Raw genomic sequence first — 15,556 nt, forward strand, 5'->3', positions numbered from 1 at the left:
AAAAACAAACTATAACTGCAAAACATACCTAAGTGCTTTATGTTAGTGAGAGAAAGAATAAGAAATAATCAAAGAACAAGAGAGAAAGACAGAAAAGAAAAATTGGTACACTAATTTATAAGCTATTAATTTGGGAGAAAAGAATCTATTTTATAAGAATTTTCCATGCTTAATGCTACTTAAAGAGTTAAAATACTTGTTTAAGATTCTTCAAAGACCTTCCCTAAAAGGAAACACAAGATGGGTAAGGACCTCATTTTAAAGATTCACAGGAGGCTGACTCTCACCAGTGTCTGGACCTGCCCAGTGACAGTCCCCAAGCATAGCCACTGTTTTCTAAGCAGTGTCATCTGCTGAATGCTGAAGGGATCACTGGATAACCAGTCCATATTAAATAAATGCAGGTATAGCCTATTTTATAAGCCTTTTATCAGGCCTCAAAGAATTTGGCTTGAAATCATCCCAGTGATTAGACGAGGGTTCCCATGCCAGATGGTAGGCTTCCTGCTTGTCTGTCAGGGACCCTCCCTCCCTTAGCAGTAGCATCACACTTGAAAAGATGTCCCTGTGTACCCACATTGACAGAAATAAGAACTAAAGGGCTGGCCAGGCAGGGCTCACCCCTGTGATCCCAGCACTTTAGGAGGCCAAGGAGGGTGGATTGCTGGAGGTCAGGAGTTCGAGATGAGCCTGGCCAACATGGTGAAACCCCATCTCTACTAAAAATACAAAAATTTACCAGGCCTGGTGGTGCATGCCTGTAATCCCAGCTACTTAGGAGGCTGAGGAAGGAGGATCACTTGAACCCAGGAGGCGGAGGTTGCAGTGAGCCGAGATTACGCCACTGCACTTGAGACTGGGCAACAGAACAAGACTTTGTCTCAAAGAAAAAAAAAAAAAGGAAAAAACATAAAGGGCTGACCCCAGGTACCTGCCCCCATACCTACTGTTTACTGCTGTAAGAACAGGAAAGCAAAACCTCTCATTCCAACTTTAAATACTGACTTAAGCACTTGTATAAATGAGCTCCTAAAACAGAAAAACATCGTTCAAAAAAATTCCTTTTTTCCTTAGCTTGAATAAAGCACCCATCTCACTCAACGTTAACCAATCGACAGTACAGCCTGCTTTGTGCTTACTTAGCAGTGTGTAGGGTGAGAGGCTAGGACACTCCACTGGAGCACTGTGGGAAGGAGCTCAGGAGGAGCTGGAAGGCAGTTCTGAGAGGGAAAACGGAGGCTAATGGTTCAGTTCTGTGACAGATCCCACAAAATGGCTAAAATGCTTGCAGACCATAAGAAAGCTAAGTTTTAGAAATAGTGAAATTTGCAATTTCTGGAAGGCTTCTTTGGAGCTGTGGGTCAACAAATATACATATATTAAATTTGTTTTCAATTGTATTTTTTGAGATTAACACTTTGGCATTAAAAAATCATACAGACTTCTGGAAGGATCTCTTAACCATCCACCCCAGAAAATTCTGGGCCCTGCACTTGCTACACTTGCTGCCAAAACAACTCTATCATCTAACTGAAAAACTAAACTCAAGATGTGTTTTTTCTCTTCCCTAAGATTTTAGTACCTCCTGAAATAAAATTCACTTCAGGCTATTAGGCCTCCTCTGAACAATGATCACAGTCAGCCTTAAGACAAAAGCTAGGCTGACCAAATGAGTTTGGTTTCTGGCTCAGAGCATGATCAACAGCCATTTCTGCTGGGAGTTTTAGCCTTAAAAAAAAATTAATGTTCCTGCTTCACTATTAACCTACCCCATCAGGATCGAATACCACTCACCGTATCCCCACAGACATTAGCCTACCCTGGGAAATTAAAACAAAAGCAATTCCTTTCCCACGGGTTTTCAGCTACTGACTTATTTCCCATTTCGATCTTGCCCCTGAACTTAGCCAGGCAAAGAGGCTCAATTCCTGAGGGCAGCTCCTGCCAGGCTTCCTACAGCAGTTTCTGCTCCTAACTGTAGGTGAGGTGGATAGGAAACTGGGGTGGCCACATCAGATCAGCCACTGTCAGGGACTAACCGTCAAGCAGTCACTTCTAACACACATCCAGGCACTGAGGATACCAAGATGGCTCCTGCTCCAGGTTAAGTGGGAGCATTTCCATCATTTTTATCAAAGGAAACAATAATAGAAGGTAGGAAATGCTCAGCCGTTAGTGAGCAACTTTAGTGAGCAGGTGCCAGCCTGCCTGCCTGAACAAGAGTTCTGTGCTTACTTCCCAGCCCCAGTCACAAGCTCCCTTGCCCTCTGGATGGCTTTTCCTCATTTGTCATCATTAAGTCCAACACACACACTTCCCTCTACCTGCTCTCAGATGTAAAATTATCAGCAAGGTAGGGTTAGAGTTTACTGCATGGTCCACTTGTAATAGACTTCACCTTATACAAACATCTGCATGGTCTACTACACCTGCCGGAGGCCTACTTTAAAATCTGTCTATGGAAAATAACACTGTTGTCTCGGTCTGGCAGGCAGCATCCTACAACAACATAACTTGCTCCCCTCTCACTTTTTTATTTTTTTTATTTTTGACAGGGTCTCGCTCTGTTGCCTGGGCTAGAGTGCAGTGGCACCATCTTGGCTCACTGTAACCTCTGCCTCCCAAGCTCAAGCAATCCTCCCACCTCAGCCTCCTAAGTAGCAGAGACCACAGGTGCATGTCACCATGCCCAGCTAATTTTTGTTTTTGTTTTTTATTTTTGTAGAGACAGGGTTTCACCATGTTGCCCAGGCTGGTCTTGAACTCCTGAACTCAAGGGATCCACCTGCCTCAGCCTCCCAAAGTGCTGGATTACAGGTGTGAGCCACCAGGCCCAGATTTCCCCTTTCCATCATAAAAGGAAATGCTTTCCACCAGGTTTCCATGATCAGGGCACACAGAGTAAATTACTTACAGGATTTTCCTTTGGGGCTAGGTGCACCCCATAGTACTTTGCTCTAACTCCAATCCTAACAACCACCAGATGGTATTTGCCTGCCTGTGCTGTTAAGGTTTCCAGCACATGGGGAATGAGCTGTTCACACTCAGGCATGAGCTTACAGATACCAGAGCCCCTCCCTTAATGGTGTTCCCAATCAGCTTTGGTGCTGGTTTCCACTCGAGAGTTCCGAGGCACCACTTTGGTACCTAGAATGCTACTAAGTCACACAGGTCTCCTCATTATCCGATTCTGTGATTTTCCTGTAGGCTTTTCTCTAATTACTATACATTAATACAAATTTCTAATTAATATAAAGCTTAAAGCCTTCTTAACTTGCAGTCTCCCAGAAAACGCATCACTCTAGTCTTCACAAAACATCTTCTCTCTGGTTACCAGAGGTGCTGGTCTGGGGAACCAGTCCCTTCCTTCCAAAAGAACATTATCTCGGCATCAAGTCCTTCGATTTCCTATTCGTAACTTCAAAGTTCCCGGGGAAGACCCAGGTTTCTCCTTTTTCCTTTTGACATGTCAGGTGGACCTGATGAGCACTGGCAGGCTCCCCCACTCATCTGGAAGTAGCCCTCAGGAAGAGAGAGAAGGGGGAAGCCTCCCCATCTGCAGGGTCAGTTCTAAACACAACTGCCCAGCTTCTTTCCAACAGGGAATCCAGCAACAGCAGGAAGCCTCCCCTGCACAAGGTACAACCAGAATTCCCTCTTATTACTGCCTAGAGCCCTCTTTAGTGTCCACCAGGTAGTACCAGGGTCTACTCAGAAACACTTGGCAAACACCCCCGACAGGCAAAGTACTCTAGTTTGCTGATGGCAGTGAGGGAGGTCAGAGGGAGGAGAAAGGTGCAAATATGAGCAGGGCAGAATCCCTACCCTCTAGGAAGAGAGGAAGACTACTGCACCCCTGGCTGTGGGCTGTATATGGAATACTCCAACCTTAAGGTCTCAAAATGGAGCCTCATGTCAGTGTCTCCTGAGGCTGGGTGCAGAAAACCCATCCAGACAAGAGGATCAGCCTCAAATCCCATCCTTCCAACATGATGGGCAAATGCCTTTCAAGTCTGGGACAAGGGCATGGAACATGGTTTCTCAGAACATGTTTTTGTAGGATGCTCCAAACCCTCTGTACAGTTTTCATGATAGATCCCTGTGAACTCTTTCCCCCCATTTCCCTTCCTGGGTTATTCTCTAAAAACTACTTAACCTCTCCAATAAATCCAAGTTGTTTTTGTCTGTTTTTGAGGTGTCACCCAGGCTGGAGTGCAGTGGCACAATGATGGCTCACTGCAGCCTGGACCTCCCAGGCTCAAGCAATCCTCCCACCTCAGCACCCTGAGTAGGACTACAGGTGCACACCACCATGCCTAATTTTTAAATTTTTTGTAAAGAATTTAAAGATGGGGAGGTCTCCCTATGTTGCCCAGGCTGGTCTTGAATCCTGGGCTCAAGCGATCCTCCCACCCTAGCCTCCCAAAGTGCTGGGATTACAGGCATGACCCACTGTGCTCAGCCATATAACCAAGTTTTAAAGAGAAGTCCTCAAGTTGAGTTTCCCTTATTTTCTAATGTGGCTTGCATTCTTTCATTCATTCACCCCGAGAATATTTAAGCAGCATGTCTAATGGGTCAGATACGAAGCTAGGTACTGGGTATATAACGCGGAGCAAAATAAACAAGGTCCCTGCCTTCTTGGAAGAAGAGGAAAAGCAGGTATCTACAACAGAATATATAGTAACAAACTGTGATGAGTGCTACAAAGGACAAGAGAAAATGGGGGTGGGGGTGAGGTAGGGAGTACAGCTGTTTCCTGCAGAGGGTTCAGCTCCTAAAAAGTCTAGCTCCCTTCCAACTGGGAAGAGAAAGGTGGCCAGTGTGCCTGGAATACAATAAACCAGGAGAGACACAGAGGCCCAGGCTGGAGAAGGCAGGAGGGGCTAGATCACACAGCACCTAAACATGTTCGGAATGTAGATTTTATCCCACAGGCAACAAAGAAACATTCAGAGAGTTTGAGCAAGGATGTGACATGATGATGTTAGAATTATTTATTATTTATTTGAGACAGGGTCTCTGTCACCCAGGCTGGATGCAGTGGTGTGATCACAGATCACTGCAGCCTCAACCTCCTGGGTTCAAACAATCCTCCCACCTCAGTCTCCCGAGTAATTGGGACCACAGGCACAGGCCACCAAACCCAGCTAATTTTAATTTTTCCTTCTTTCTTTCTTTCTTTTTTTTTTTTTTGTAGACAGGGTCTCACTATGTTGCCCAGGCTGGTGTCGAACTCCTGGGCTCAGGCAGTCCTCCCACCTCAGCCTCCCCAAGTGTTGAGATTACAGGTGTGAGCCACCATGCCCGGCCATGATAGGAATTTTTTAAAGACCACTCAGACTGCTGAGAGGTGAAGAGATTAGAAAGGAGTAGAGGTAGATGAGGGCAGGTCAGTGAGGGGCTGCTGGAGTATTCCAAGCAAAAAGATGGTTGTTTGCACCAAACTAGAACAGTGGCAGAGAAGCTTCAGAGAAAAGAACCATCCAAGAGTCGTTTATAAGATAAAAATCAGCAGTATTTGGTGCAGGACTAGATAAGGGCGAAAGGAGGGAGGTCGAGCTTGCATTCGTAGTGAGGAGAAATGTCAATTACCTCTGGCAGAAAGCACAGGCTGAACAAACTCTGCAGCTCACTGGCACTGCACTTCCCTCGGCACCTATTTTTCAGAATTTCTAGAAAAATTTCAAGCCCATCTCTTATTTACTCCTAAATCTATTCCTGAAACTGTCATCCATTTTTAACACATTTATCAAGCATCTACGATGCTCTGGGGATAGAGAGGTGACCAGCAGCTCATGCTCTCTGCGTCTGTCTTCTTTGAGCCCCTGGGTGTTGCCTAGAGGCAGCCTCTAAACCCTCCTGGCAGCAAACACAACTCCCAAAGCTGGGGCTCATCTTACCTTCTGAAACCTTCATACAAGCCACTTAACAGACGCCTCTCTACCTCTTAGAGACATTCCGCAATGCAACAAGCAGCTTGAGTTCTTTTCACTCAGAGATTCACTCCTCATTTCATAATATTCTGAGCCCCAGGAGACATCATAGCATCAAATCAAAACTCCCCAGGTCTTTGAGCCTTGCTCTTAAAGGAAGATCATGAGTCCCACCAGGCAGTTCTTCCTTCTACTACATAATCAAACTCCTTTTCTCTAAAATGTACTGAGTTTGGAACCTACATGCGACTTGTGCCCTTTGATTTGTTGCCCAGATTAGTTTGTGCTGGGCTCTATCCTATCACCAGGAATGGTGGTTTAATAAACCCTGGAGCTATACTGTCCAATATGGGCACATGGAACTATTTAAATTAAAATTAAAGCTTCGGTTTCAGCTTAATTAAAATTAAAGCTTCCAATTCTCAGTTGCACTAACCACCTTTCAAATGTTTAATGGTCTGTTGTACCATGATGCACAGAGGCACTGCTACAGGGTTGTTTGCATGTTTGATGTGAATTTCCCCTTTAAAAAATAAAAATGAAATTCAACATATAGAAACTTTCGACATATTAACTTGTGTCCTGTTTCATGCTACAAGTGAATACTATAAATTGAACTTAAAGTAACATATGCCACTAAAATACTGCTTCTTAATCAGTTTCACAGTTTGGGCTTTGTGTAAAATTCATTTGCTAAGAATGTTTGAAAATAACCTGTGACTTCATCATGGGCTCATAATTTTATGAGCCACTGTGGACAAACACTGTCCTTTTTTGTTTGTTTGATTTTTAGATACAGGGTCTTATTCTGTCACCAACGCTGTGGTGCAGTGGTGCCATCATGGCTCACAGCAGCCTTGAATTCCCAGGCTTAAGCAATCCTCCTCCCAGCTCAGCCTGCCAAGTAGCTAGGACTACAGGTGTGTGTCACTGCATCTGGCTTTTTTTTTTTTTTTTTTGTAGAGGCAGGGTCTCACTATGTTGCCTAGGCTGGTCTCAAACTCTTGGCCTCAAGTGATCCTCCACTTCGGTCTCCCAAAGTGCTGGGATTGCAGACATAAGCCACAGCACCTGGCCTTTAAAAAAAAAAAATGTACCTTGCACACTGCCCAGTACAGTTGCTACTTAGTAAATACATAGACTAACTGGTCATCTTGAAAGCACTCTTAATTTTATATGCCTACTTCTCATACACAAGTCTGTAAGAGGTTTCCACTAAATGTTCATTTCAGATTCTGAATTTCAACTACCTAACACCAGCCCTATAATTATGCAGTGTGCAGGCATTTTTTTCTCTAGAATATCTACCAAATGATTTTATAGTCCAAAGACACATTTATACTGTGACAGAAAATCCACCAACAATGCTTCATTGTGGAACTATCTTGGAACAAGATTAGCAAAAGTTGATAATTATCAAAATTGAGTAATAGATGCCTGATATCCATTATATTATTCTTCACTTTTGTGTATGTTTTTTAAAATTCCAGAGCAAAAGATATTTTGAAAAACTTAGTCAATTATATACAAATTTGATGAGGCCTCACACATACTTTACAAGATAACTATAACTTAAATATGGCTGGGTTCATAGCACTTTATTGACTATCCCAAGCCAGTGACCTGTTTCATGAAGTCCTCTCCTTGTATGGTCCTGAGGCGTGGTTGTTCCTTTGAATGGGGAAACATCATCAAATCTCGCTGGAGATGGGGTTCAGGCAGGTTTTGCACACAGCAACTCCGAGTTGTCATGTTTGACCACCTGGCTGTAAGGCCAGTAGTCTCTGTCTCCTCTTATCAGGAAAAAAGGTGAAAGATCTGCCCGCATCCAAACACTAAAGCAAACAACTGCAGGCAAGAGCAGAGGAACAGCTGCTTCCGGTCCACCTTGCTCCACACTCAGGACTGCACCCACTGCAGAGATGCCTACAGGTAGGGCCAAGTCTCCCAGGTACGGGTGCTGAATGCTTAGCACACCACAGAAAGTCCAACATAATCTACCTTAGAATGCCTCCATGGATACACCTACTCAGCTGTCTTAGTTTTACCTTCTGCCCTATGGTTACGCTACACATGGAATCATGGGAAATGCTGACTAGGAAGAGAAGCTCATCCACTCGAAATCAAGTTCCCCACAGCCCTGAGAGTCAGCAAACCCTACCCACAGTCCTTTCTGTACATGCCAGGCATGGCTCTCAAGGCTCATTCAACCCTCATAGCATCTTGGAGGTGGGAAAGTGAGGCAAAAGAGGTTAAGAAACTTCCCGAGGCCCCTTGAGCAGTGTCTGGTTCCCAAGCTTCTGCTCTCCCTGCTACACTATGCTGCCTTGTGACATGTCCTCTGCAGAATGGCACCTTCTGAGCCTGCCCTTCCCATATTCCCCTCTCTGCCCCTCTGCACAGCAGCCAGACATCCACGTTGCTCTCTCTCTTGAAATGCTCTGCCCAAGACCCCCAGTTGCTGGTTTCTTCCTTTTCTTTCTTTCTTGGTGCCCTGTTCTTTTCCTTCAGAGGAAGGAGATTTTACACATATTACAATCCAATATATATGATGCATATGTCTATTGACTTGTTTGTTGTCTAGACTAGATAATGTGCTTTGTGCAGGAAGGAACCACATCTGTTTTGCTCCCCATCAGATTTCCAATGCCAAGCACAATGCTTGGCCCTGGTAGATGCTCAAATACTTGCTGAATGACGATCACTGTTCAGTCAATCCTTTCAGTAAAAAGATTTTTAAATTCTCTATTTTGAGCCTAAAATAATAAATATAACCATCTATAAGAATACAGCCCAAAAGACAGCATGAGGTCCAAGAAAGGACTGAAAATTGAATAAGAAAACAAGCCAGCTTATGTCAGCTTTGAACAGCAAGAGAAATGAAACTTATAAAATGCATATTGGGATTCTGAAAGGTTATTTGCAGGAGCAATCCAACGGGTAGGTTTTAATCTCAGATCCTAAATAAGCTTATGACTGAAGCCAGCTCCTCTTGCCCAGTGCTGCTTTCAACTGTTAGAATAAGCTGGGGAGGCACTTAATGTGTTTGTTGCAATAATCTTCTTAGGGAAAAGCCCTTAGAACCAATATTCCAGGCAAATCCAGCAGACAAAGGTTACCTGGTTGTTTCAAAGCCCACCCACATTTCCCATTCTCCCAGCTTCCACACAGAAAGGTTAGATTCTTCTCTCAATAGTCCCATTTATGCTCACAGTGACCTGGCACATGGCTTTTGTTCACCAAAGAAAAGCCTTTCCTTTCAAGGACTTAAGTCTTCTGCAATAAGAGTTAATTCTTTAAGTTTAACAAAGTTCTCCCAATACAAGTAGTCCCCACTTATCTGCAGTTTCCGTCACCCATAGCCAACCAAGTTCTGAAAATATCAAATGGAAAATTGCAGAAATAAACAATTCGCAAGTTTTAAACTGCATGCCATTCTGGGTAGTGTCATGAAATTTCTCACTGTCCAATCCCATCCTGCCCAGGATGTGAATCCTCCCTTTGTCCAGCAGATCCACGCCGTAGGCGCTACCTACTCATTAGTCACCTTTAGCTGTCTCAGTTATCAGATCAACTGTCACCATATTACAGTTCTTGTGTTCAAGTAACGCTTATTTTACTTAATAACAGCCCCAAAGCACAAGATTAATGACGCTGGCAATTTGGATACGCCAAAGTGAAGCTGTAAAGTGCTTCCTTTAAGTGAAAAAGTCAAACTTCACAACTTAGGAAAGGAAAAAATCTTGTACTGAGGTTGCTAAGATCTATGTTAAGAATGAATCTTCTATCTCCGAAAATTGTGAACAATATGTGGTTGTTATAACCGTTCTTTTTTTTTTTTTGAGATGGAGTCTCGCTCTGTCGCCCAGGCTGGAATGCAATGGTGCAATCTTGGCTCACTGCAACCTCCGCCTCCTGGGCTCAAGCGATTCTCCTGCCTCAGCCTCCTGAGTAGCTGGAACTACAGGTGCACACCACCACACCTGGCTAATTTTTTGTATTTTGGTAGAGATGGGGTTTCACTGTGTTGCCCAGGCTGGTCTGGAACTCCTGAGCTCAGGCAATCTGCCCACCTCAGCCTCCCAAAATGCTGGGATTACAGGTGTGAGCCACCGCACCTGGCCCAACTGTTCTATTTTTATTAGTTATATTGTTAATCTCTTACCGTGTCTAATTTATAAATTAAACTTTATTATAGGTATACATGCATAGGAAAAAAACGTGGTGTATATACGGTTCAGCACTATCCATGGTTTCAGGCATCCACTGGGGAGCAACATAAGCCAGTATTCTAGGCCCAGCTATCAGTCCTTGACCTTGCTGTGTAATCTTGGAAAGTTATTTAACCTTTCTGAGCCTCAGTTTTCTCATCTTAAAATAAGATTGATAATAGTATCTACTATTCATAGGGTGGTATAAAGTTTAAAGGTAGGAACAGTGCCTGGCACACGATTCCCCGTAAATGATAGTTACTCACATTGTTATCACCTGCGTATTGTTTTGTTTTTCAAAGCACTATCACAAACACCTGAGACTTCAAAAGTCCTGAATACAATCATTTTCTTTCAATTGTTTAATTTCTCAGATTCTTAGAATCATAAACTCATATAATCTATGAGACTGCTAGCAGTAGGGGATGGCACTAAGAAATCAACTCTTCATTTTGGAAGAGAGACTTTTTTTTTTTTTTTAAACAGAGTCTCACTCTGTCACCCAGGCTGGAGTGCAGTGGTGCGATCTCGGCTCACTGCAACCTCTACCTCCCAGGTTCAAGCGATTCTCCTGATTCAGTCCCAAGTAGCTGGGACTACAGGCATGTGCCACCACGCCTGGCTAATTTTTGTATTTTTAATAGAGCCAGGTTTTCACCATGTTGGTCAGGCTGGTCTTGAACTCCTGACCTCAGGTGATCCGCCTCCCAAAGTGCTGGGATTACAGGCATGAGCCACCGCGCCCTGTCCTGGAAGAGAGACTTTTAAAAGTCCAAATTAGTGAAGTGACGCGCAGCTGGTATCCTGCCTTGCTGCCCAGTGCAATTTTGGGTGATCCACGCAGCCATTGGGAAATATGTTTCTAATGGTGAAGCAGGGATGACAGGTGAAACTGTCAGGACTGTAGCCTTCTGACTCCAAGTCTAGTGTTCTCTCCACCCCACCAATGCCAGTCAAGGGCTTCTGAACTTTCATGACCTCCTAGCATCCCTCTCATTAATGGTGCTTCATGGACATTTCACGCAGTGTAATTACGCATTATAAAGAGTTTGGAAAGGAGCAACACAAAATCTTGTATAACCTATGAGTTGCTTTAAAACTCACATGTAAGAATATTCACAACAGCATGGGCTTCCAGTCTTCTTATTACAATATTTACTTTAAACTTGGGATTTAAAGTTGACAAAGACCTTAATGAATAGGAAGACAAAGGGAGCTGTCTGTCCATGGCTCGTTAGCTCCTGAAGTTAATGTTTCTCACAGGGACAAGAGTCAGCCAAAGGATAGTGCTCTAGGCAAATTGGAAAATGTTCCTCCAGCCACAAACCATGGATTATTGCCTAGGCGTTGAGTGGCAAATCTTACGAGATGCTTCCCAGCTTTTCCCAGTTAACCATTCATCCTGTCAGTGGACAGCATGACCTGTTATTGGGTGCTCACTAGAACCAGGGACATAAGTGATCTCATTTAATTCTTACAACTACCTATAAATAATATACTACCCTAGTTCATCTAAGACCATTGACTATAAGACACACTGTTATTTTATGTGCCAAAAAAGGAAGCCACTGCTGACTACAAGTCTAAGACCCCATACATTACAAGATGCTTTTTTTCCCCAGGAATGTTAACATTACATAAATTACACTGTCTTAGCATTGTTGAAATGGGAATATTTTCCCACTTTACAAAGAAACTGAGGTACACAGAAAGAGAAGTAATTTACCCTTAAGGTCACAGAGCTGGTAAGCAGAGCACAAGGATACAGACCCAGTCAGTCCAGTCACCTTTTCATGGCAGTAAAAGATTTCCCAATAGCCTCGTGAATTACTCAAAACTGCACTTGGCAGAGAGACAGACATCGGCATCTAACTCTGGCTCCAGCAGGAGCACAGGAGCTCATTAGTGCAGCAATTCTCTGAACATCTCTGAACCTGACCACTCTGAACATGTCCACTCAAGAGGACACTGCAAGAGACATCTCTAATAAACTGCCATTTCTCTCCAGGGAAAAACAACGTGGTACAATGGAAAAAGTGTGTTTTGTTTGCTTGGACACAGGGTCTTACTCTGTCATCCAGGATGGTCTCAAACCCTTGGCCTCAAGTAAACCTCTTGCCTTGGCCTCCCAAGGTACTGGGATTACAAGATGTGAGCCACTGTGCCTGGCCCAAAAAGCACGTTTTTTGAATCAATGTCCTAGACTGACATTCTTGCTCCACCATCTAACCAGCTTGTCACCTTGGGCAAGTTACTACTTTGCTCTGAGCCTCGGTTTCCTCTTCTGTAAAATGAGGCTATCACACCTCCATTAGAGGGCTGCTCTAGGACTGGAGAGGATATATACATAAGGGGCAGAAAACAGTACCTGGCTGAGTTGGAACTCAACACTGCTCTCTTTTCTATACTAGTCTTCTGCCTTGGGACAGAATCAAAGAATAAGCATTCCCTGTGACCTCAGCAATTCCCAAGGAGACCTTCAGGAGATAAGGATCAGACAGAAGAAAGCAGACCCTGAGGGATATTCAGGCAAAGAAAATGAACTAGAAACACCTAGAGAACAAGAGACAGTGTGTGTTTAATGAACTTCCTAACTCTGAATGAATGAATTGACAAATGGAAAAAAAGAAAGAACAGGCACTTTCCATCAAAAGATACCAGTCAACAGACGTGAGGATTAATATAATTTTATATTGAACCTGACACAGAAAACTGGTCTTTGAAGATTCACTTTGATACTGAAAGTAATCTACAGTGAGGAGAATTTCCCCATTGCTCTGTTCTCATATTAAGTAATAAACTGTGCAGTTCTCCCCTCTCTTTCCTCAAGGGATTCAGAAAACCTTCCAGAAAACAGAAGCATTTGACTTGAAGGAAAGGCAACTAATATGGCATATAGAAACAAACTCTTCATCCTTTAAAAACAAAAAAACCCTCCATCATTTCTATAATGTCTAGCAGTTTCTGGCATACAGCAAAATTATTATTATTTTAATAAATAATTTCTTTTTTAACTCCAGGCAACTGCTTTTTGTCCAAAACATGCTACGTATTTATTCTATCGAAAAGCCTAATCTTTCCTGCTTCTTCTCCAGAAGCATTCTAACATAACCTCTAATAATGAACATTATGTTTGGTATATGCTGTGTCTAATCTTCTCTCACGATGACATAACTTGCTCTTCAGACCTCCAACAATCAGCCCAAACCAAACTCCTGAATTTTTCCTCCCTCCTCGTCTGTCCCAGCCCCTCGGTTGCTTGTCAGTAGACTCAATTACCACCATCTTCTGATCTGAATCAATTTGTTAATCTCCTTCCTCTCAGGCACAGTGCCTTTTACTGGAGATAAACATGCAAGCAAGTTCAGTTCACCCAGAGCCCTCCACATCCTCTCCCTCCAAGCCTTCACACTCCCAAAGGGGCCCAGAAAAAAAAGAAAGAAATGATATGGCAAAATCCCACTCTATCCACATCACCTCAGGGGGCTTGTTTACCATAACTTTAGACCAACTACCATTTTTGGGGAGAATCTGAAAGAATATTGTTTATGGGCTAGGTAAGAGCTAACAGAAATGGCAGTTTCATTCTTCCAATATGAGACAAGCGTCTCTGTGTGACCCAGCCCTAAAACTCACAAACCTAGACTCCTCAAACTCCCCATACTCCAGAGTTCAAGGATAACCTGCCCTCCATTTTTCCTTATTGTTTTCCATATAAAAGTCACTCGTTGTTTCCCCTCCAGCTTACACCTGGCTCCTGAAATGACTCCTCTGAATCCTCTGAGAATCCTCAAAACATGTAAAAGCCTCATTCCTTTTAATGCATGTGCAGAGCGGTGATGGTGTGAAGACGCTGGCACTTCAAACGTGAACGTGGCACGAGCCCTGCCCTCAAGGAGCCCACAATTTTCCCTCAACTCTAAAAAAGGATGTCCTCCCTGGACAGTGTCTGTAAAACACAGTGACAAAGTACTTCATAGCTCTGGAGAAAGAGCGAGGGTGGAAACAGACTTTGCCCTTACATTTGACGCCCAGTAACCATAACAACCGATGGTTTAAGTAACTATCAACCCACTGAGGGGCTAAGTTTTCCAAAAATCGTTTTCAAAAGGGGAAGACTCCCCTGCACCAACTCCCATGGCAGCCGTACGCTCTAGGCAGCGTGTGGTGCAATGTGGCCAGCCGTTCCCCGCCTTCTCCGGTTCCACCGTATGGTTTCCGTGCTCAGCAGCCAGCAGCGACGGCGTCCACGGCCACACCGCCTCCCCGCAAGGCACCTGGCGCTAGGCCTCAGCCCAATGTCACTTGTTAACCTTCCGATCCCCCGGATTTCGGCACGCCGCCGCCTCCCTGCTAAAGCACACAAACCACCCCACCGCCACCCGCGTTCTCCAGGAGTTGGAGAAAAACCACCGGGGCGCATACAACCTCTGACAGATTCGAGTAAAAGTAACTGCGGTTCTCGACTTTCAAGCATTTCGCGTCGCCGGTGAGGGGGGCGGCAGGAACCCGGGGCCCCATTCATAAAATTGCAAGCCGTTTTCCTCTAGTTTGCGCGTGACGGTGCCTCCCTGCCCGGGGCCGGGGACCGCAGGCTGAGGGGACGGGGCCGGCAGCTCCTCCCGCCGGAGTCGAGCCCGAGCCATCCGGCGGGGCCCCGAAGGAAGGGATTGCCCGGGGGTGTCGCGGGTGGGCGTCCCCTTCAATACCTGAACCATGACAGCGGGGTGGGGGGCCGAGCCCCGCCACGCCAAGGGCCGCCGGACCCGACCGGTACTTTGAAGCCCGCGGGGTCGATCCGCGCCCAGCCCGGGCCTTATCCGCGGGGCGCTCCCTCCACCGCCCCCGCCTGGCCCTGAGACTGCTCACCCAAGATCCGCTGGCTGCCTCATTGTACTATGCCGGCGCCCGTGCTCCCGGCCGCGCGACTCCGGCTTCGGCTGGGGCACCGGCCGCGGTCCTGCTGCCCTGCCGCCCGCCCGCCCCCGGGCACACGCCGCCCCGCCCCGCCGGCGGACCCGCCCCGCGCCCGCGGCCGCCGCCGCCAACCAGAGGGCGCGGGGGCGGAGCAAACGGCACGCCAGGCCCAACCAATCCAGTTCTACCGCGCGCCGAGGTGAGGCCGCGGAAATGGGGGAGCGATTTGTCAGGTCTGTTAAAGGGGCCACCGCCCTTGGAGCTAGGGAGAGGAGTGGTGGGGAGGGTTACCTGGAAGAGCCCCAGGTGAGGGGGACAAAAGCTTCACTCTCCCAACGGGGCTGCACACTGTCCCCAGCTCTTTGCACTTCTTAATTTCCTCTTCCTGCAGTCTAGCAGCAACAAGTGCCCTTGAGACGAGGGCTGGGGGTTGAGGTGGGGTGACTGAGGCGCGGAGAACCAGGGGTATCCCCCTGGGCAAATTCACTCGAT

At 45.5% G+C, this 15,556-nt stretch overlaps 1 protein-coding gene across 10 annotated transcripts in view, besides 1 other annotated feature; it reads right to left on the reverse strand.

Annotated features, from left to right (window-relative positions):
* TEX2 (testis expressed 2) overlaps window positions 1-15,109 on the reverse strand; it is a 116,034-nt gene extending 100,925 nt beyond the window's left edge. For 5 of the 10 annotated variants that reach the window (XM_017024846.3, NM_001288732.2, XM_011525000.3 and 2 more), the window contains exon 1: window positions 15,017-15,109. The gene's annotated coding sequence lies outside the window, so the exon portion shown is untranslated. Of the gene's footprint in view, window positions 1-14,575 lie in introns of all 10 variants that reach the window. The other 5 variants (XM_047436397.1, XM_047436394.1, XM_047436395.1 and 2 more) reach the window with 4 other exon arrangements.
* Window positions 14,697-15,306: a silencer, noted in NCBI's record as "silent region_8841". NCBI's record gives its function as "represses an Ori minimal core promoter by ATAC-STARR-seq in GM12878 lymphoblastoid cells {active_cell/tissue: GM12878}" and the evidence as "EXISTENCE:reporter gene assay evidence [ECO:0000049][PMID:35858748]".

This window comes from Homo sapiens, chromosome 17 (assembly GCF_000001405.40).
Source record: "Homo sapiens chromosome 17, GRCh38.p14 Primary Assembly".
NCBI classification, from domain to species: Eukaryota; Metazoa; Chordata; class Mammalia; order Primates; family Hominidae; genus Homo; species Homo sapiens.